The sequence below is a fragment of the Homo sapiens genome, chromosome 5 (genome assembly GCF_000001405.40).
Source record: "Homo sapiens chromosome 5, GRCh38.p14 Primary Assembly".
NCBI lineage: Eukaryota > Metazoa > Chordata > Mammalia > Primates > Hominidae > Homo > Homo sapiens.
This window is the reverse complement of record NC_000005.10, coordinates 134,371,387-134,393,934: the sequence shown is the minus strand read 5'-3', so window position 1 is coordinate 134,393,934 and position 22,548 is coordinate 134,371,387. Positions and strand designations below refer to the sequence as shown.

Below are 22,548 nucleotides of genomic sequence, written 5' to 3'. Positions count from 1 at the left end.
CATTAAACAAACTGTTAATAATACCACACCTTTAATAACTTACTTCTCCGCTATCTTCCACCTACATGAGTGTGAATTTAGAGCTGTGGAGCAGTCAGATAACCAACAAGGTTTGTAATGGGCACAGCTCATTCATCTTTTTGGCTCAACTAAAAATTCCCAGGCCATTCTGTGAACACAAGAAACATGGAAAGTTATTCATATTAATGAAACTTGGTGTGGGGGGTGGGTGGAGGAGAGAAATCCTACAGACTCAAGGATATTTCCAGGAAGGGGAAAAATGTGGCTTATTGATAAGTCAGTCCTTTATATAGAAACCAGAAAATGTTCCTAAAGTCAGTGGAAAATGGTAGTCAAGAAAACCCTTTCAGCTGAGTGCAGTGGCTCATGCCTGTAATCCCAGTGCTTTGGGAGGCCGAGGCAGGATGATCAGTTGAGCTCAGGACTTTGAGACCAGCCTGGCCAACATAGTGAGACATTGTCTCTACAAAAGTAAAAAAATTAGCCAGGCATGGTGGCATGCATCTGTAGTCTCAGCTACTCAGGAGGTTGAGGTGGTAGGACCGCTTAAGCCTGGGAGGTTGAGACTGCAGTGAGCCGCCTGGAGCCACTGGACTCCAGCCTGGGAAACAGAGCAAGACCTTGTCTCGGAAAAAAAAGGAAACCTTTTCATTGGAGTAGACACAAGTCTGTATAAAACTAAATCAGTTAAAAGTATTTCCACAAATTTGGATGTTGAAGTTCTGCAGAATTTCTAAAACCAATCTCAACCTCTTAAAAGATAGCACATTTCTGGGTAAGACCACATAGGGTTCAAATCCCAGTTCTATGACTTACTGGCTGGTTGATCTTGAGCAAGTCACTTCATCTGTCTATCTGTGGCTAGTTTCATTATCATCTTTTTTTTTTTTTTTGAGCCAGAGTCTCACTCTTATTGCCTAGGCTGGAGTGCAGTGGTGAGGTCTCGGCTCACTGCAACCTCTGCCTCCCAGGTTCAAGTGGTTCGCCTGCCTCAGCCTCCCGAGTAGCTGGGATTACAGGCACCTGCCACCACGCCTGGCTAATTTTTGTATTATTAGTAGAGACGGGGGGTTTCACCATGTTGGCCAGGCTGGTCTTGAACTCCTGAACTCAGGTGATCCGCCCACCTCAGCCTGCCAAAGTGCTGGGATTACAGGCATGAGCCACCGTATTTGTGAATTTGAAATGAAATAATATATGTTAAAAGTGCTTAGAATAGTGCCTTTCACAGATTATTCTGTGCTGGGGTATTGTTACAGGGAATTGTATCACACATGCATTTAAACTTTTTAACATGAATCCATCAATATAACTTTGTACCAACATAAACATTTTAGTTCTAGCTTCTTGCCCTACCATACATTTATGAAACTGACCTAGAGTTTAAAGTAAACACTTTTTGTATGACTCAACCTTGTAAATCGAAGGTTTATATCTGGTACTTAACCAAAGAAATAGGAATCTGTTCCAAGGCTGCAGAAAAAAGTGAGGAGTTATGTATAGATTGAACCTTCTTAAGGATTTTCTCGAAAAGGAATGTGGATGCTATGAGTTTTATGCATATGTTGAATTTTGGAGTTAGAACTCACTGACCTCCCTGTAAAGTAACATGTAACTTCTTTATAATTATCTACCAATACTTGAAATTTTCCTGTTTTAAACTGGGAAAGGCAAAAACAGGTCAAGGATAAAAATGGATGTTGAAATAGTAACCAAATAGCATTTAATGAAATAAGAGGGCAGACCCTCATAGCTACTGTATATTTAATCTAGGAGTTACTGGAGTGAATGTCTATAGTTTGTTTTGGAGCTAAACTATAAAAGCACCACACAATTAAAGCATCTTTTTGGGAGCCACGATTCCAGTGAGTGAATTCCCATTTGTATCAAAGTTCCCTAAGATCATACACTTACCTCAGAATTTGCCAAGTAATAGCTTTTATTTTTAAAGACAGGGTATTGCTCTGTCACCCAGGCTGGAGTGCAATGGCATAATCACAGCTCACTGCAGCCTCAACCTCCTAGGCATAAGCTATTCTGCCACCTCAGCCTCCTAAGTAGCTGAGACTACAGGCAAGTGCCACTATGCCCAACTAATTTTTTAAAAAATTTAAAGTAGAGAAAAGTCTTATTATGTTGCCCTGGCTGGTCTCAAAGTCCTGGCCTCAAGTGATCCTCCCGCCTTTGCCTCCCAAAGTGCTGGGACTACAGGTGGGAGCCACCTGGCCCAGCCTATAAGCATTTATCCAATCAATGTTAAACGTTGCATAATGAATAGAAGCTGTAGATATTGCCATACTGTAATCCAATTTTATGGATATGAGAAGAAACTCTTGGGGTTACTAAAATAGCTGTTTTAACTACTAGAGAGACTACACAGGTGGTTCAACAGAATTTACTTGTATATTTTCCATTTTCTATACTATTTGAAGGCATAGGATAGTTTTGTATTAGCTTTCTACAATACTGTGTTTTAAATTTATCCAGTAAACTAAGATGCAGTACAACTTTTATACAACTCAGGAGATTAAAAAAAAAATCTCCACAAGAAGAAGCAACTCAGCAGGCCCTGGCATTAAAACATTTCCCAGAATAAACAGATATGCATTGCATTAAAGGTAATTTTCAAATATTTAAGTTACACCAAGATTTCCCTCCAATATGTGCCTTTCTCAAACCAATGCAACTAATTCATTGCTAATACTGGGGCATGAATTTTTGGCAAATGTTTATGGTTTTACTTTCTTCATTAATCAAAAAATTTTTTAAAGTGCTACCAAGCAGCAAAACAAGTCGCATCAGTTCTCTGCTCATGGCAGAAGTGCCAACTGTGAAATCGCAAAAGGTACAGTTTTAACAGTAAGTAATGCATGAAGAAACTGTAACAAATGGCCTAAATACAGAGTTGGACAGAGTCAAACCAGTTATGTCTAGAATTACTCAATTGAAACTAATAGAGGTACATTCAAAATAAAGTTGGAGATTATAATCGCTATTTAGAATCAAATTTGAAGACTTCCTTGATAAAATATAAGAATGTTCTTTTGAAATTGTAAATGAAACTATCAATAGATGGAGAGCTAGAGACTTATTAACCCCTCCTACACACATAAGGAAATAAGTGACAAAGTCTCTTGCACTGAAGTTATGTATTTTAACAGCTTTACATGTAATATTCATATATAAAAAACTTTAAGTGCTTTTCTCCAATTTAAAAATCTAAAGAATTCAAAAATAAGGCATTCAATATTTGAAAAAAGTACAGATTTACAAAATGTGTATATTCTGTCATGAAAACTCCACACCAACATTATACACTTGGAAAAAAATACAAACAGGATATATTACAAATTTATGCAGCAATAACTTAGTTCACACCATGCAATAAAAAGTACATTAATCAAGATACACAAGCTTTTGTAGGTTCTAAACTGAAGGACTTTTTTCTTTTTTTTCTGCAGAATCCTTAAAACCTGTGGCACTTAAAATTTGTTAGCCTTTCTAATGAGAGGTAAATTATACACAACAATGATGAAAAAGATTAACAGACCAGTTGTCTATTATGAATCATTCCAGCTTTGTTCAACAATGGCCGAAACTCTTTTCTCATATTCTCGTTTGTTTTCCTGATAAAGCTGTGCTGCCTGGCTATTGGCTGGACTGTTAGGATTCGGTTCATCCAGCAGAGACTAGGAGGAAAGAAAAGAAAAAACAGATTTGCATAGTTGTTCTTTATACCAACAGGGGTCAGATATGGAATATATTACAGAAAAGTTATACAAAACAACAAATTACTTCAGAGATTAACATGTCATATAATTTTGGGTCTAAATACTTTTAGAAATGATTTGATAAATACTATGGGGTTTCCTGCTGCTAAGGAACTTAAGCTTCTGAAATAAAGTTCTCAATTGCCTTAAGACCTATAATTTCAGCTGGGTACAGTGGCTTGTGCCTGTAATCCTAACACTTTGGGAGGCCAAGGCAGGAGGATCCCTTGAGCCCAGCAGTTCAAGCCCAGCCTGGGCAACATAGGGAGACCCTGTTTCTATTAAAAAAGAAAAAGAGGTCGGGTGTGGTGGCTCACGCCTGTAATCCCAGCACTGTGGGAGGCCGAGGCGGGCAGATCACCTGAGGTAGGGAGTTCGAGACCAGCCTGACCAACATGGAGAAAACCCCGTAATTTCTAAAAATACAAAATTAGCCGGGTGTGGTGGCGCATGCCCGTAATCCGCTACTCGGAAGGCTGAGGCAGGAGAATTGCTTGAACCCGGGAGGCAGAGGTTGCAGTGAGCTGAGATCGCGCCACTGTACTCCAGCCTGGGCAACAAGGGTGAAATTCCGTCTCAAAAAAAAAAAAAAGAAAAAAGAAAAGAAAAAAATACCTATAATTTGAAAGAAATCAGAAAAGAATATTCTTAAGCATATTGAGACGTTCTCATTAAACCAAGGAAATAAACAGCTTAATTTGGTTAAGATATCAATAATTCTCAGTAACCAACATTTTCCAAGGTTAAACTCTATTACTGCAGTTACTTTGCAAATGTCTTGACAGTAAATTTGGGAGATAAGTCTTATTTCCTTTAATCAACAAAACATATACATTTAGCAGGAAGAGAATGAGATAGGAAGGTTGAAAAACAACGCTTGTAAGATGACCAGAACTGGCCTGGTGCAGTAGCTCACGCCTGTAATCCCAACACTTTCGGAGGCTCAGACGGGCGGATCATGAGGTCAGATGGAGACCATCCTGGCTAACACTGTGAAACCCCATCTCTACTAAAAATACAAAAACTTAGCCAGGCGTGGTAGCATGTGCCTATAGTCCTAGCTACTCAGGAGGCTGAGGCAGGATAATCACTTGAACCCGGGAGGCAGAGGTTGCGGTGAGCCAAGATTGTGCCATTGCACTCCAGTCTGGGCAACAGAGCAAGACACTGTCTCAAAAAAAAAAAAAAAAAAAAAAACAATTAAAGAAGTGTGAGAGAAAAAACTTTAAAAAGAACATCACAAACCAACATATTATTTCTGCTCCTCTCAAATCCACAAAACCGAAACACCCCTCACTCCACCCCTCCTAAATTTTCATTCAAAGATCTATTCTGAAATATTCTGCCAGACTGCTTCGACAAATGGTTACATTAGTTTTCCTTTCTTTTTTTAAAATAGAATTTCTTGGATGGGGTAACATACTCAATGCTTATCTACACTTGGCAGTTTCTTTAGGTTCCTATGGTTTTTCCAAGCCATTTTTTCTTTTCCACAACCCTTGGCTATGCTTCATGGACACAAATTAGGTTTGACCTGTGAGAACATGTAACTTACACAATCAGGAAAGGGACTGCAGACTGGATCCCAAGTAGGCACTACTGAAAGAGAAAAGTTAGCTGAAAAGCATGGATTCTTGTCCAAGCTCTGCCATTGGTTACCTGTGTGCTAAGGAGCTGACTATATCCTACAGAATACTGACAAATTATAATACATCCTAACACACACTTACCTGAATTGATGTTAAGATAGAAGATACATCATATGTTGGACTCCATCGATTCTGAAGGATATCTAAACATATGCTACCATCAGCATACACTGCAAAGACAATACTAAAATTAGTTACACACTCTGCCATATCTAACAGTTAAGAGAAATCTTTACCAAACAGAATGCTTGGCTTAGAAGTTTTAAATATTAGGTAATAACTAAATTCTTCTGTATCACAGGATAACCTGTCTTAAAACTAAGGTCTCTTATTTTGCACCTGCTATGGTTTGAATGTTCCCTCCAAATCTCATGTTGAAATGTAATTGCTGGAGGCTGGGCACGGTGGCTCACGCCAGTCCTGAACACTTTGGGAGGCCGAGGCAGGCAGGATTGCTTGAGGTCAGGAGTCTGAGACCAGTCGGGCCAACACAGTGAAACCCCATCTCTACTAAAATTATAAAAATTAGCCGGGCATGGTGGCACATGCCTGTAATCCCAGCTACTTGGAAGGCTGAGGCAGGAGAATCGCTTGAACCCAGGAGGCAGGGGTTGCAGTGAGCTGAGATCACACCACTGCACTCCAGCCTGGATGACAGGGTAAGAACCTGTCTCAAAAAAATAAAAGTAAAAAAATTAAATAAAAAAAAATTAATTGCCATTGTAACACTGTTGAGAAGTGGGACCTTTAAGAAGTGCTTAGGTCATGAGTGCTCAGGGCAGGAGTGTACTCCAGATAAAAGGATGAGTTTGGCACCTTTTCTTATGTCTTGTGTGCTCACTTGTCATTCTGCCTTCCACCATGGGATGTCACAGCACCAAGGACCTTGCTTAGGTGCTGGCGCCATGCTCTTGGACTGCCCAGTCTCCAGAACCATGAGCCAAACAAACTACTATTATTTACAAATTTACAAATTATCAGTCCCTGCTATTCTGTTGTAGCAGAAAATGAACTAAGACAGCATGTTATGATCAGGAGGCTTTGAGTTAAATTTCTTCAACACACATCATTTAGCAATCTATTTAAATTCCGTATTTCTAAATATTCTTAAAGCTTTTAAAAAACTGCTTATTTTTGACATAGCAATTACACTCCTAGAAATTAAGGAAATAAACGTGGACATGCACAAAGATTTACTTACAGGATGTTCACTATAATACTACTTATAAGAGTAGAAGGCCAGGCGCAGTGGCTCACACCCATAATCCCAGCACTTTGGGAGGCCGAGGCGGGTGGATCATGAGGTCATGAGTTCGAGACCAGCCTGGCCAGCATGGTGAAACCCTGTCTCTACTAAAAATACAAAAATTAGCCAGGCATGGTAGTGCATGCGTGTAGTCCCAGCTACTCAGGAGGCTGAGGCAGAAGAATTGCTTGAACCCAGGAGGCAGAGGTTGCAGTGAGCTCAGATCACGCCACTGCACTCCAGCCTGGGCGACAGAGCGAGACTCTATCTTAAAAAAAAAAAAAAAAAAGTGAAAAACTAATTCTACCTTGTGGTCCATAAAAGAGGGAACTGGCTAAATAAACAACTGATACATTCATATAAGCAATAGCAACACAATCACCAGAAATGATACATATCTACTGTTTATAGAGTAAGACATCCACAGACTATTACCTTAAAAATAAGTTTTTAATTATTTATAATTTCCTATTTTGATTAAAAAGTTTTATATAAATTCATTTAAAGTATATGTAGTCAAAAAACATTTCTAAGACCGAATGTCAAAATGTAAGTAGTGGATATTTGTAATAGTAGGGTTATGGATGATCTTATTTTCTTTTCCTTTTTTTTTTTTGAGATGGAGTTTCGCTCTTGTTGCCCAGGATGGAGTGCAATGGTGCAATCTCAACTCACTGCAAGCTCCGCCTCCCAGGTTCAAGGGATTCTGCTGCCTCAGCCTCCCACGTAGTTGGGATTACAGGTGCCCACCACCACGCCCAGCTAATTTTTGCATTTTTAGTAGAGACGGGGTTTTGCCATATGTTGGCCAGGCTGGTCTCGAACTCCTGACCTCAGGTGATCCACCTGCCTCGGCCTCCCAAAGTGCTGGGATTACAAGCATGAGCCACTGTGCCCGGCCCTTTTTTTTTTTCTTTTTTTGAGATGGATTCTCAGTCTGTTGTCCAGGCTGGAGTGCAGTGGTGAGAACTCGGCTCACTGCAACCTCCACCTCCTGGGTTCAAGCAATACTCCTGCCTCAGCCTCCCGAGTAGCTGGGATCACAGGCATGTACAACCACGACCCAGCTAATTTTTGTATTTTTAGTAGAGATGGGGTTTTACCATGTTGGCCAGGCTAGTCTCGAATTCCTGACCTCAGGTGATCTGCCCACCTCGGTCTCCCAAAGTGCTGGGATTACAGGTGTGAGCCACAGCGCCCCCAGCAGATGATCCTCTTTTCTTTTTCTTTTTTTTTGAGATGGAGTCTCGCTCTGTCACCCAGGCTGGAGTGCAGTGGCGTGATCTCGGCTCACTGCAACCTCCGCCTCCTGGGTTCAAGCAATTCTCCTGCCTCAGCCTCCCAAGTAGGTGGGATTACAGGCACACATCACCATGCTTGGATAATTTTTTATATTTTTAGTAAAGACGGGGTTTCACTATGCTGGCCAGGCTAGTCTCGAAGTCCTGACCTCGTGATCCACCTGCCTCAGCCTCCCAAAGTGCTGGGACTACAGGCGTGGGCCACCGTGCCTGGCCTATCTTATTTTCTTTATCCTTCCTTGTGTTTATGATTTATTTGTGCAATGAGTATACATATTCCTTTCATTAAAAAAAAAAATCAAGTGACTAACAGGTATCAAAAGTCCTGAACATCTGGGAGGGTTCTTCCCTTTTTAGACTGATTCTGTGAAAATACAAGCAATGAACGTTAAGTATTTGCCCAATTGTGAGACTATCTGTAGAAAAAATTTCTAGAAGTGAACTGCTATGTAAAACAAAGAGTAAATTCATTTAAATGTTACAGATACCATTTCATGGAGCAAACCATAACAGAGAGTGGGGAGCAAATCACACTTAAACACTGTGATTCTTCCAGACTCTATCCTAAGCCCTTTTCCTTCTTACCCTTTACACACACACTGGGCAATCCTATTGACTCCTGTGGCCTCAGTTACCATCCATGTGCTCAGTATTCCCAATCATTGGCCTTAGCCTAGATCTATCTCTCAGCTTCAAAGCCAACTTACTGTCCATCCCACAGAAACATCAAACTTAGCTGCCCAAAGCAAAAATTAGTAACTCTGTAAAACCCATAAAAGTGTAAAACAATTTTAAAGTTCTGAGTAACTATTTCTGAGAATCCAAAAGTAAATCAGAACTCAAATATCTTATCAACTAATGAACAAAATACAGAATATCCATACAGTGGAATATTATTCAACAATAAAAAATGAATCACAGATACTATTATATCACAACATAGATGAGCCTTGAAAACTTTATGCTGGGTGACAGAAGTCAGTCACAAAGGACCACATAGTATAAGATTCCATTTATATGAAATATCCAGAATAGTCAAATCTAGAGGGAAAACACGTTAGGGGTAACACTTACCTAGGACTGAAGCGGGGAGGGTTAAGACAAACAGAGTTGACTGCTAAGATAATAGTTATGGGGCTTTTTGTTGTTTTTAAAGTGGTCATGGTGATGGTTATGATTATGCTAAAAACCATTTGAGTTGTACAATTTAAGTGGGTCAACAGCTTGGTGTGTAAATTATATTTCAATAAATGTTTTTAAAAAAATAAACCAGAAAGTTAAATTATAAAAAAGTACTCAGCAGAATAAAAGGGAAACCATGCTATAAATATGAAGAGATGTGAAAACCAAATACACTGTGGTTTCTTAAAAATTTGCTTAAGTGATAACCCTATATTTATATCCCTTACTCATTCTACAGTCTTTCCCACCTTTATTTAAAGACCCCCTTATCATAATTGGTTTGGTTTGACTCAATAACAAGTCTAAGCAAGATAAAGCTACAGTGGAATAAATGGTAAATGACCTGGGAACTTCCCCAAAAAGAGAAACAGAAAATAAAATTAAACCTGTCTTGGACAAAAAAAAAAGCAAAAAAGGCAGCTAGAAGGAAAAAGCAACTTCACAGAAATGAAGTGCCAAAGGTAGTATCTATTACTGGAAAGTCACCTTGATTCCAGACACAAACGAAACACATCTCTCCTCTGGGTAGGGAGCTCTATAATGTATTCTGCAGTACTAGAGACACGACCAAGAGGACCTCTGAAAATGTTCTTCCTGAAAGTGAGTTGGCTGATGGGGAACGCCACATTTAAATGAGCAAAGGCTGTGAGACTGAAGAGGAGCTTCAAGAATTTGGAGAAGTCTTTCACATGGTAATTTATAATACAGAAATATAAATGTAATAGATGTAAACAGCAAGATGTCAAGGAAGACCAAATTTATTACAAAGGAATTAGCCATCGTTTAGTGAAGAATAGTAACAAACTACTCTATGAAGTGAAAATGAGAACAATTCCACTGAAGGAAAAAAATGGAAAATGACATTAAAAGCTTTAAAAACACACAAGCCTCTGACCCAGTAATCCCCACGTTTAAAAAACTTAGTCTAGTTGTTATGCAGCAATTAAAAAAACAAACAAAAAACTCAATCAAAATAATAATTAGTATCTGAAAAGATTTATTTTGAGGCCGGGCACGGTGGCTCACACCTGTAATCCCAACATTTGGGAGGCCAAGGCAGGCGGATCACCTGAGGTCAGGAGTTCAAAACCAGCCTGGCCAACATGGTGAAACCCCGTCTCTACTAAAAATATAAAAATTAGCTGGATATACAGCTTTGGGAGGCTGAGGCAAGAGAATCACTTGAACCCAACAGGCAGAGGTTGCCGTGAGCCGAGATCATGCCACTGCACTCCAGCCTGGCCGATAGAGCAAGACTCTGTCTCAAAAAAAAAAAAAAAAAAAAAAAAAAAGCTGGGTATGGTGGCACACATCTGCAGTCCCAGCTACTCAGGAGGCTGAGGCAAGAGAATCACTTGAACCCGGGAGGTAATGGTTGCGATGAGTCGAGATCACACGACTGTACTCCAGCCTGTGTGACACAGCAAGTGTTTTTCTCAACAACAAAAAAATTTTTAAGATTTTTAAGAATGTTCAAAGTGCTATTTAAAATTGTAAACAACTGAAAACTATCAACAATTGGACACTGGTTAAAAATATGATAAATCTATGTAACAGAACATTTTGCCATTAAAAATGATGTATCAGAATATTTATTTTTTTGAGATGGAGTCTTGCTCTGTTGCCAGGCTGGAGTGCAGTGGCGCGATCTTGGCTCACTGAAACCTCCGCCTCCCGGGTTCAAGCAATTCTCCCGCCTCAGCCTCCCGAGTAGCTGGGACCACAGGCATGCGCCACCATGCCCAGCTAATTTTTGTATTTTTGGTAGAGATGAGGTTTCACCACGTTGACCAGGATGGTCTTGATCTCTTGACCTCATGATCCACCTGCCTTGGCCTCCCAAAGTGCTAGGATTACAGGCGTGAGCCACTGCACTCAGCCCAGAATATTTATTAAGGAAAATGTTCACAGTATATTAAAAAAACAAAAACAAACAAACCAAAAAAAACACCTTATTTTATATATAACATCCCAATTTTCTTTTTTTTTTTTGAGATAGGGTCTTGCTTTGTCACCCAGGATGGAGAGCGGTGGCACAATCATGGCTTGCTACAGCCTCAACCTCCCAGGCTCCAGCAATTCTCCCACCTCGGCCTCCCTAGTAGCTGGGAATACAGGTACGCACCACTGTGCCCAGCTAATTTTTGTATTTTTTGTAGAGACAGGGTTTCACCATGTTGCCTAAGCTGGTCTTGAACTCCTGGGCTCAAGCAATCCACCCTCCTCAGCCTTCCAAAGTGCTGGAATTAATAGGCATGAACCACTGTGTGTGGTCATTGACTCCAACTTTGTATATGCAAAATTGTACTTTTGAGATAGAATCTTGCTCTGTTGCCCAGGCTAGAGTGCAGTGGCACAGTCATGGCTCACTGCAGCCTTGACCTCCTGGGCTCAAGTGATCCTCTCACCTCAGCCTCCATAAGTAGCTGAGACTACAGGTGTGCGCCACCATGCCTTGATATTTTTTTTGTTTTTTATAGGGATGGGACCTCGCTATGTTGCCCAGGCTGGTCTCTGACTCCTGGTCTCAAGCAACCTTCCCACCTTGGCCTCCCAAGGTGCTGGGATTATAGGTATGAACCACCACGCCTGGCCAAAATTGTATTTTTGAAAAGCTTAATTTTAGCCAACAGATTTTTCTTATTTTTCACAATTCCACAAATAAATAGATAATACTTTTATCTATTTCTTTTAGTAGAGACAGGATCTTACTATGTTACCTAGGCTGGCCTCAAGCCACCCTCCTGCCTTAGCCTCTGGAGTAGCTGGGACTACAGGTGTGCACCACTGTGCCTGGCTTACATATTACCTTTGTTTTTTTGGAGACAGAGTCTTGGTTTGTCACCCAGGCTGAAGTGCAGTGTTGTGAGCTCAGCTCACTGCAACCTCCGTCTCCCAGGTTCAAGTGATTCTCCTGTCTCAGCCTCCTGAGTAGCTGAGATTACAGGTGCCCACCATCATGCCTGACTAATTTTTGTATTTTTAGTAGTGATGGGGTTTCACCATGTTGGCCGGGCTGGTCTCAAACTCCTGACCTCAGGTGATCCGCCCACCTTGGCCTCCCAAAGTGCTGAGTTTATAGGTATGAGCCACCATGCCCGACCATGTATTACTTTTAATTCAGGAGTTATTAAAACAACTTGACCTCAAATTTGGAAGCTTTGTAAGAGTCTAGCTACAGAAACATAGCTAAAGGCTGGAAAAAATGGCCCATTCCTGTAATCACAGTGCTTTGGGAGGTCAAAGTGGGAGGACTGCTTGAGGCTAGGAGTTCAAGGACCAGCCTGGGCAACACACAGAGACTTTGTGTCTACAAAAAAGAAAAAGAAAACAAACAAAAAAATTAGCTGGGCATGGTGGTCCACACCTGTCGTCCCAGCTAGTTAGGAGTCTGAGGCAGGAGGATTACTTGAACCCAGGAGTTTGAGGTAACAGTGAACTGTGACTGTACCACTGCACTCCAGCAGGGGTGACAGAGTATAACTTTGTCTCTGAAGAAATAAGAAACAAACCAAAAATCCACAACAAACCCAGCACTTTGGGAGGCCAAGGTGGGCAGATCACAAGGTCAGGAGATCGAGACCATCCTGGCTAACATGGTGAAACCCCGTCTCTACTAAAAATATAAAAAATTAGCCAGGCGTGGTGGTGGACGCCTGTAGTCCCAGCTACTCACAAGGCTGAGGCAGGAGAATGGCGTGAACCCGGGAGGCGGAGCTTGCAGTGAGCCGAGATCGCGCCACTGCACTCCAGCCTGGGCGACAGAGCGAGACTCCGTCTCAAAAAAAAAAAAAAAAAAAAAAAAAAAAATCCACAACAAAATACGTGGCTCACATGGACATGGAAGCAACACCTACAAGTGAGCCCTAACAGTAAAAAGTAAGGTGAAAGAGCTAAAAGGAGGGAAACAACTCTTTTCCCCACTATCATCTGCAAAATCTATAAAATGCTACTTACCATTTGGATGAAACATTTTGGATAAAAACCTAACAGTTGGTGGTTTATTTGGATATTCTTCAGAAAATTCTATTACTAGTTTAAAAGTACCTAGAGAGAAAACAAAATAATTATAGTAAAGACAAGCACGACTTTTTAATCTCTTCATCAGTTCTCAACTGCATACTGGTTTTTGTACAACCACATAAAAGTTAGTATGTCAACGTTGGTTCGGCATACAAAACATCCTAAATATACTCTATTTATGTTAGAATGGTAACACGCAGCATTGGCAAGCGGTTGGGGAACAAGCACATTCATGTTGCTATTGGTGGGAGTGTTAACTGTCATATTTTTGGAAGGCAACTAGGCCCTAGCTACCAAGATTTAAAATGCATATTTGAAGAACTACAAATAGTTTATTATAGCTTAGAATGGGAGTTGGTTAAAGGATTTTGAGAGGGTCTGACTACCACATGGCAAAGGACCCTCCCAGGAGGTGGAGGTTGCAGTGAGCCCAGATCATGCCGCTATGCTCTGGCATGGGTGACAAAGCAAGACTCCGTCTCACACACACAAAAAAACTTTAACTCAGAAAATCTTCATTAAAAATAACTGTAGCCAGGTGGGGTGGCTCACGCCTGTAATTCCAGCACTTTGGGAGGCTAAGGTGGGCGGATCACCTGAGGTCAGGAGTTGAGACTAGCCTGGCCAACGTGGTCAAACTCCACCTCTACTAAAAGTACAAAAATGAGCTGGGTATGGGGGTGCCTGTAATCTCAGCTACTCAGGAGGGTGAGGCAAGAGAATTGCTTGAACCTGGGAGGCGGAGGTTGCTGTGAGCAGAGATCGCGCCATTGCACTCTAGTCTGGGTGACAAGAGCAAGACTCTGTCTCCAAAAAAAAAAGGTAGGTTAAACTGCAAACCCATTACACAGAATATAAATTAAAATTATATTTCTCCCCAAGTTGGTGATAAGTGTAAGCAATGTTTTACATATTTGCAACTGTCTCTTTAATGACTGGCTTAACAGAAGATAGCTGGATTCTCTTATCTGCTTCTGCACTCCATCTATTACAATACCGTTTAGTTTAAGTACATGAAGAAAATCTGGCCTCACACAAATATGTACTTGAAAAAAGGAGTACTTTCTTTCTTTCTTCCTTTTTTTTTTTTTTTTTTGTTGAGACAGAGTCTCACTGTTGCCCAGGCTGGAGTGCAATGGCACCATCTCAGCTTACTGCAGCCTCCGTCTCCTGGGTTCAAGCAATTCTCCTGCCTCAGCCTCTGGGGTAGCTGAGATTACAGGCACGTGCCATCCCGCCTGGCTCATTTTTGTATTTTTAGTAGAGACGACGTTTCACCATGTTGGCCAGGCTGGTCTTGAACTCCTGACCTCAGGTGATCTGCCCACCTTGGCCTCCCAAAGTGCTGGGATTACAGGCATGAACCACTGCACCCAGCAAAAAAAGTAGTATTTGAATAGCTTTTTCAGGTGACTGTAGCTATTCTGTTTTGATATTATACCAAAGAAGAAATGGTAGTTCTTTTAAAGGTTTGCTGCAATATAGAATCTGAAATTATTAGTCAACTTTTTGTACTCAGTTACATTAAAATCTGTTCACTTCACATACGTGTTTTACCCATTCATGGTTTTGTATTATTATTCATGGGACATCTGCAAAATATTGGGTGACTCGAGTTTACAGATCCTCCAAATGTTGCCATATTCCATTATATACTATCAAAAAAATCACAACAGGTAACACTACCCACTAATCTCATCAAAAAGTAAGTATCAGGAAGCTGTTATTTTATCAACAGCAACAAATATCTTCAGTTGCTATCCTTAACCTAACAACCCACTTAGATCCCCCCACTGTTTTTTTTTTTTTTTTTTGAGATGGAGTCTTGCTCTGTTGTCCAGGCTAGGGTGCAATGGTGCGATCTTGGCGCACTGCAACCTCTGCCTCCCAGGTTCAAGCAATTCTCCTGCCTCAGTCTCCCGAGTAGCTGGGATTACAGGTGCCCGCCACCACACCGAGCTTATTACATTACTTCTGAGAATATGTCTGCCATATATTCAAACCTGAATAACCACAGCTTGTCTGTATTTTCAAGTAAAAAATGTTCCATGAAAAAAAGTCATTCAAATTGCAACTCAAACAACTGTAGAAGTGCTTTTCTTCCAGACAACTATCATACTATGACATGCAGAAGTGCTTTGTTCATACATTCTACTTCATATCATACAGAATATTAAAAAGACAGATACTCGGCTGGGTGTGGCTCATGCCTCAGCACTTCGGGTGGCCAAGGTGGGCAGATCACCTGAGGTCAGGAGTTTAAGGCCCCAGCCTGGCCAACATGGTGAAACCCCATCTCTACTAAAAATACAAAAATTAGCCGGGCATGGTAGCACATGTCTGTAATCCCAGCTACTTGGAAGGCTGAGGCACGAGAATCACTTGAACCTCGGAGGCGGAGGCTTCAGTGAGCCAAGATTGCGCCTCTGCACTCCAGCCTGGGTGAGAGAGCGAGACAAAAAACAAAAAACAAACAAAAAAAACCCACATAGATACTCAAGGGTCCAGAGCTTCCTAATACTAATAAAAATGTCTTTAAATTAAGAAATTAAGAAAAATTGGTAACTTTTTTAAAGACAAGGTCTCACTCTGTCACCCAGGCTGGAGCTCAGTGGCTCCACCAGGGCTCACTGCAGCCTTGACCTCTTGGGCTCAGGTAATCCTCCCAAGTAGCTGGGACTAAAGGCATGTACCACCATGCCTGGCTAATTTTTTGTAGAGAAGGGCTCCCCCAGGCTGGTCTCAAACTCCTGGGCTCAAGTGATCCATGATCCACCTGCCTAAGCCTCCCAAAGTGCTGGCTATACAGGTGTGAGCTACTGCCCCTGGCCAACTGGCATCTTTTAAAATGCAAAGAATATAATCACTATTAGTATGGTTTGGTGCCACTGTCTAATGCCTTGATTTGTTCTAAGATACGAAACTACTTAGGTGTAGTTATAGCCACCATTGGTTTTGTACCATCAATGCAAAGGTCAACAGTCTTAGTATGATGAGATTTGATCGTATGGGTCCCCCGAGAGGGTCTCCAAGACCCCAAGGGGTTTATGGATCACACACTTGAGAACCCTTGATGTAGAGAAAAAAGGTAACGTCCTTAAGTACCTCCTTCAACTCCTTACCCCCCCCACAGATAATCACTGGTAACAGTTTGATATATAACCCTTTAACATAGACACACATGCATATATGTATTTGCTAAAAATGTGATGCTACGACAAACATTATCGTGCAGTTTTTTTGTCCTCTTAAGACAGTATGTCCAAATCTACCTTATTCTTTAACAGGTACATATTCCAGAATCCAGATACATCATAATTTGCTTAACCATTTCTCCTACTGGACATTCAGGTTACGTCCTTACAAACTGCTGCAGTCAGTATTCTCGGATAAATATTTTTGATGGATTAATTCTGAAGTCATTTTGTTAATGATAACAAAGATGTTTAATAATTTCTTAAAATCCAACACTACAATTGGGAAAAGTCTAAGTTCCTGGTTAAAATCAGTTTGATAAGTTCAATTATAAATTCGGTATTAGAACTAGTTTCCCATTTTCCTAGCCCCTGATGAAAATACCCAACTTGAGATGCCAAAGATTATGCAAAATGATAACTACTTATGGGTGTTAAATGCTAGTAGTACTTGAAACTACTGGCAGCTATGTATGTTTATGAAAAATTTCAGCTCAACACCCTGTCAATATCAAAGATAACAAAGTAAAAAAGCATGATTTACTCTTCTGGTGTTCACCTCAGAGATATCTTTAAGGCCACCTAAATTTAAACTATTCTCAACATAAACACTGCCATCCAGGCTTACAGTTATACAGGAAAATATTAAAGTAACCTTTAATATTGGTTACCAATGGAGGTGACCAAGCTGCTGTGGGAAGAAGTCCCTTATGAAGTATAAATTTTCCATAGCTTTACTTTTAACTTGGCCTATTAACCATAGAAAATGGCTTCAAGTAGATATGTTGGTGTTACAATTTTCTACTAAAAAGTAACCTCATAACACTATAGAAAACATAATGAGTATGACTTACCATCTTCAAAAGGTGTCCCTTCTGGTCTGAAAACAAGAAGATTTCTGATTAAAAGAAGTTTCTCATTCTGCTTTTTCTTGATTTTCAAGAATGGAAAGGATAAACTTCAACAGAAAAAGAGGGACTCATTCTGATGATTTGTGGAGTTTTAAGATAGAGTTTAGTAACACCTTAGCCCTGGATTTTCATAGACCCAGGCATAAAGTATTAACTTTCATTCTAAGCTTTCTTTTTAGGGTGGTTTTACCAAACCAAACAAAAAAACTTGCCCATAATTTTAGCACAAAAAAACTTTCATTAATACTGACCAGTCATTTTGTACATATGTGTATATATATATATATATTTTTTTTTTTTTTTTTTTTTTTTTTTGAGACGGAGTTTTGCTCTTGTCCCCCAGGCTGGAGTGCAATGGCATGATCTCAGCTCACTGCAACCTCCTTCTCCTGGATTCAAGTGATTCTCCTACCTCAACCTCCCGAGTAGGTGGGATTACAGATGCCTGGCTAATTTTTGTATTTTTAGTAGAAACGGGGTTTCACCATATTGGCCAGGCTGGTTTCGAACTCCTGACCTCAGGTGATCCACTCATCGCAGCCTCCCAAAGTGCTGGGATTTAGAGGCGTGAGCCACCGCACCTGGCCCATATGTATATTCTTAAGAGGAAAAGACATCTTTTCATTTTACAGCAATATGATGTAAAGCAATACTCTAGTTATGATGCTAAACCCAAGTGTCCTGCTTTCCAATGGAGCCATAACTCTTGTTCAAATAGGCTAAGCATAGTTGTCACCAAAAAGCCAGATTTGTTTGCTCAGATCCTTGTCCCCACATCCCAATTTCATCTTTCCTAAGCAGCAGCATAAAGTTTTTTTTTTTTTTTTTTTTTTTTTTTTTGAGACGGAGTCTCGCTGTCGCCCAGGCTGGAGTGCAGTGGCGCAATCTCGGCTCACTGCAGCCTCCGCCCCCTGGGGTTCACGCCATTCTCCTGCCTCAGCCTCCCGAGTAGCTGGGACTACAGGCGCCCGCCACCTCGCCCGGCTAATTTTTTTTTGTATTTTCAGTAGAGACGGGGTTTCACCGTGTTAGCCAGGATGGAGCATAAAGTTTAATTATTACTTGCAAGGCATATTCAGGATCTCAAAGCAGCAGGATAATATCCTGAAGGTGCCATGTATTCAACTCAAATTCAGAAGTACTTTATGAGGATGAACTTCACTCATTTTCCACTAGTCTTTAAATGTAGACTCTTGTAGCTGATTCTGTAGTGTCAGAATTCTGTTTATCAACATACTCCTTTTACTTTTTAATGCAAAACTCTAGTTTCAAAGGAATGAAAGAAAAAATAGATCAAGTCTAGAAAAACCAAAGAAAAAGCATAAGGAAATTTTAAATTAAAAAGCATATACGCAATATACATAGTAGGTAAAATTTACAACTGCTTCTCAAATGGCTGCATTCTGTTATTTCACACTGGGCTGTGAATCATTTTCGCTTAAATTCTTGCCACAGTGGAAGTTCTTAATATTTTTGGTTCCAAACCTTTTAACAGCTCCAACAGAATGAGAGCATTTGCGTGATATGTTTTATATAAAGTAACTTATTGTTTCTCCTTTATTATTCCATTCCATTTAGTTTTGAATAGTATTTTAAAAGTAAAACCCCAAGAGATTATAAAACCATATGTAATAACATCAAAGAGCAAATAAACTTTATATAACTGCTGAAACTTTTTCCTTTTTTTTTTTGATACAGGATCTTGGCTCTGCTGGCTGCCCATGTTGGAGGGCAGTGGCACAATCATGGCACACTGCAGCCTCAAACTTCTGGGCTCAAGTGATCCTCCTGCCTCAGCCTTCCAAGTAGCTGGGACCACAGGTATGCACCACCATGCTCAGCTAGTTTTATACTTTTTGTAGAGACAAGGGCTCACTATGTTGCCCAGACTGGGCCAAAACTTTTTTTGGTGGGGAGGGGACAGAGTCTCACTGTCTCACTATATCGCCCAGGCTGGTGAACTCCTGGGCTCCAGCGATCCTCCCAGGCGTTGAGCTACTACTGTGCTGGGCCAAAACTCTAATTGAAATATTTTTTTTTTCTAATTTATCTTGCAGTTTTAGTCCTTAAGATCTCTCATTCCACCTCAGTTTCTTTTCCTAGACAGTTGTTATATGTTTACTTTTCTTAAAGATTCAGCACACACCTATTATTTGTTAAACCTTTCAACTCACCCAAATATAACTGCATTCCACTGCATGATGTTGTTTTCAGATGGTGCGCCACTGACACCCACAGGTGGGTCCTCTTGTAACCTGGAAATCCAGCGTGGTAATTTAAAAAGTTGAACATTAAGGCCACTAAGGAGGCCACGTAAACACCTACAGACACTATACCATCTATTTTGAGACACAGACTAACTCCATTTCCTTGTTATTGTGAACTAAAATGAACCATATGACTTAAATATATTAACCAGGTATATATACTTATTAAATACCTCTCCAAATTATCTAAAAATTGAAAGGGCTTGAGAATCATCCCTCTTTCAATATTATCTCTTCAAGAATTGATGCATAGGAACACTTTTACACTGTTGGTGGGACTGTAAACTAGTTCAACCATTGTGGAAGACAGTATGGCGATTCCTCAGGGATCTAGAACTAGAAATACCATTTGACCCAGCCATCCCATTACTGGGTATATACCCAAAGGAATATAAATCATGCTGCTATAAAGACACATGCACACGTATGTTTATTGCGGCACTACTCACAATAGCAAAGACTTGGAACCAACCCAAATGTCCAACAATGATAGACTAGCCTAAGAAAATGTGGCACATATACACCATGGAATACTATGCAGCCATAAAAAAGGATGAGTTCATGTCCTTTGTAGGGACATGGATGAAGCTGGAAACCATCATTCTCAGCAAACTACCGCAAGGACAAAAAACCAAACACCACGTGTTCTCACTCATAGGTGGGAATTGAACAATGAGAACACTTGGACACAGGAAAGGGAACATCACACACAGGGGCCTGTTGTGGGGCGGGAGGAGAAAGGAGGGATACCATTAGGAGATATACCTAATGCAAGTGACGAGTTAATGGGTGCAGCACACCAACATGGCACATGTGTATACATATGTAACAAACCTGCACGTTGTGCACATGTACCCTAGAACTTAAAGTATAATTAAAATATATTTAAAAAAAAAGAATTGATGTATATAGACTGTCCTCTTATACCAAAAAAAGTTTAAAACCTCAAAAGCAAGTAATATTTTTACAGAACCATTGATTTTGCTGCTCTAAACATGCAAAGACTGTGTATCCTAACCAGGCTACTTCTGCAAAATGGCTACAAGAAAAAAAAAAAAAGCAAACCTCAGTGTAAACACAAAATGACTGAAAACACATTAAATTTAACTAGGAAACTAGTATTAGGCAGCAGATTTACTCTATTCCTTTTGCTTCAAACAGCAATGGCTTTAAAAAGTAATTAGTAGGTTTTCTGCCAGTCCCTATTTTAAAGGCTCTGCACTAACACCAAATCCACCTCTCAGATCAGGAGACTCAACACAAGGCTTTCCAACATTCGTCATAGTCAAATTCTTGTAACCTGCAGATCTCTGGAAACTACAAAAGGTGCCATGCATTCAACTCAGAATTAAGCAGAGCATTACAGTAAGGAGCCAGGGCGACAATGACATGAACTAGTTTACTATCTGAATTTGTCATGAGTGCTAATCAAATACGCTGATTTCAAGCTTTAGAAAGATGACTTTTGCACCAAAAAGGGCATCTCCTTTCAGAGACTGTAACCTCAATTAAAAATGCTACATTATATACACACACAAATACATATGCAGTTGTTTTTCATGGGGCATCATAATTTGCAACTAGTCCACATTAAAAAAATGGTTTTTAGTCAATCTCAAGCAAATTAGGCCACCACGAACAGAAGCCTTAGAAGAACTGCACTGCTTGACGCCTACCTTTAAATGGCTAAGAGAAGCTACGAATGAATTAAATAAGTTGGCCAAATCCAAGTGCCTCACATAGGCTTTATAATAGCTGAGAGGTGACTTCCTGAGCGACAAATCTAAGTTTTTATGCTAGATATTTTGTTCAATTAGGGCAGGTGTCCCCAGAAAAAATGTTAAGAAAAATGTGCAGAGTATCAAAATGATGTTTTCTCACTTATTTTTTCTATGTCTCTAAGTATCCAATAAAAGGTAAACAACGGAATAATCATTTTCTATCTCACAACCCCAATACCTCCTAACAAAACCCTATTTTATTTACCAAAGGAGGCCCAGGGAGTATCAGATTAGCGCCAGTCTAAGGGAAGGCATTTTTCCAGACTCGGGAGGCTATAGATAGGGGCTTTCTTCACCAGCCAGAGCTGAGTTCCAGAAAGCACTGGCAGCCGGGGTGGCCAGCTCTAAGGTCCCAGATCTCTAAGTCAGTTCCCAAGGTCCTTTCAGGCGGGCGGGGACAGAGTCGGGTTTCGGGGGATGGGTTAACCTCCGGGCCTCACGCACTGGACCCCACCCTCAGGGCACAAATGGAAAGGATTGGCAGGAGTCGGGAGAGGGGTTCGCCCCAACACGGCTCCTCGGAGAAGACGGCGGGGCCGTGAAACAAAGCTGACTGGTGCTGCCGGAGAGGAACAAGCTCCCGCAGGAGCTCACTTTGAGGGGACAAGAAGGGGGCGCCGCAGGGTGCAGGGGCGGGCGGATAATGTCTGATCGCCTGGGCGAGACGCCGGGCAGCTGGCCGAAATGGGCAGCAGGGAACCCTAGACCAGTCGATCGACACCGTTTTACTTTTTGTGGGGAGGGGAAGCAGTATCAAAATTTCTTCGGGCGCCAGAACGAGCGGCAAAGCTTATGGGAGTAGGGCCGAGGCTAGGACCCGGCTTCCGCCAGTCCCGCTGGGCCCACAGCCGGCCCTCTGAGGGTCACAAAGGGGAAGGTGTCTGGGATCCACGCCCTGCAGCCCCGCAGCTTTGAGGGGCCGTCATCTAGGCGAAGGTGAAGGCCCTTACCGCTTGAAATCCCGCATGAGCCTCCTCCGGGCCGGGGTCGACATGCTCCGCAGCTGCCCCGCGGTCAGTCTGAAAAAAAAAAAGTCCCGCGCAGCCCCCCCACCCCCCGGCGCGGCGGCCGAATCACTGTGGATCGCCGCCGCCGCCGCCGCCGCCGCCGCCGCCGAGACTGACAAACAACCCTGCAATGACGTCTCCCTCCGCCGCCTCCGGATCCCTCCGCCCTCCGCCGCTACCACAGTGTGAGTGCTGG

The 22,548-nt window shown here is 41.3% G+C and overlaps 2 protein-coding genes across 3 annotated transcripts in view, besides 1 other annotated feature; one reads left to right on the top strand and one right to left on the bottom strand.

Moving 5' to 3' along the window:
• On the bottom strand, positions 1,827 to 22,366 carry UBE2B (ubiquitin conjugating enzyme E2 B). Its single transcript, NM_003337.4, has 6 exons — positions 22,296 to 22,366; positions 19,472 to 19,552; positions 17,241 to 17,266; positions 13,127 to 13,216; positions 5,522 to 5,610; positions 1,827 to 3,710 (listed from the first exon to the last, which is right to left on the bottom strand). The coding sequence occupies exons 1-6, from the start codon at positions 22,337 to 22,339 to the stop codon at positions 3,582 to 3,584; spliced, it is 459 nt and encodes a 152-aa protein (NP_003328.1). The 5' UTR covers positions 22,340 to 22,366; the 3' UTR covers positions 1,827 to 3,581.
• Positions 22,034 to 22,133: an enhancer, noted in NCBI's record as "active region_23143". NCBI's record gives its function as "activates an Ori minimal core promoter by ATAC-STARR-seq in GM12878 lymphoblastoid cells {active_cell/tissue: GM12878}" and the evidence as "EXISTENCE:reporter gene assay evidence [ECO:0000049][PMID:35858748]".
• CDKL3 (cyclin dependent kinase like 3) overlaps positions 22,311 to 22,548 on the top strand; it is an 88,280-nt gene continuing 88,042 nt past the window's right edge. The window contains exon 1 of one of the 2 annotated variants that reach the window (XM_024446093.2): positions 22,311 to 22,537. In XM_024446093.2, coding sequence (XP_024301861.1) covers positions 22,311 to 22,537 — 227 coding nt within the window. The remainder of the gene's footprint in view (positions 22,538 to 22,548) is intronic. The other variant, XM_024446099.2, reaches the window with a different exon arrangement.

Coding starts and splice junctions, on each gene's coding strand:
- UBE2B (NM_003337.4), bottom strand. CDS start 22,339: ATGTCGACCCCGGCCCGGAGGAGGCTCATGCGGGATTTCAAGCG. Junction 5,611..13,126: donor CAAAATGTTTCATCCAAATG/GTAAGTAGCATT, acceptor TTGTCTTTGCAG/TGTATGCTGATGGTAGCATA. Junction 3,711..5,521: donor CTATCTTAACATCAATTCAG/GTAAGTGTGTGT, acceptor CTTTCCTCCTAG/TCTCTGCTGGATGAACCGAA.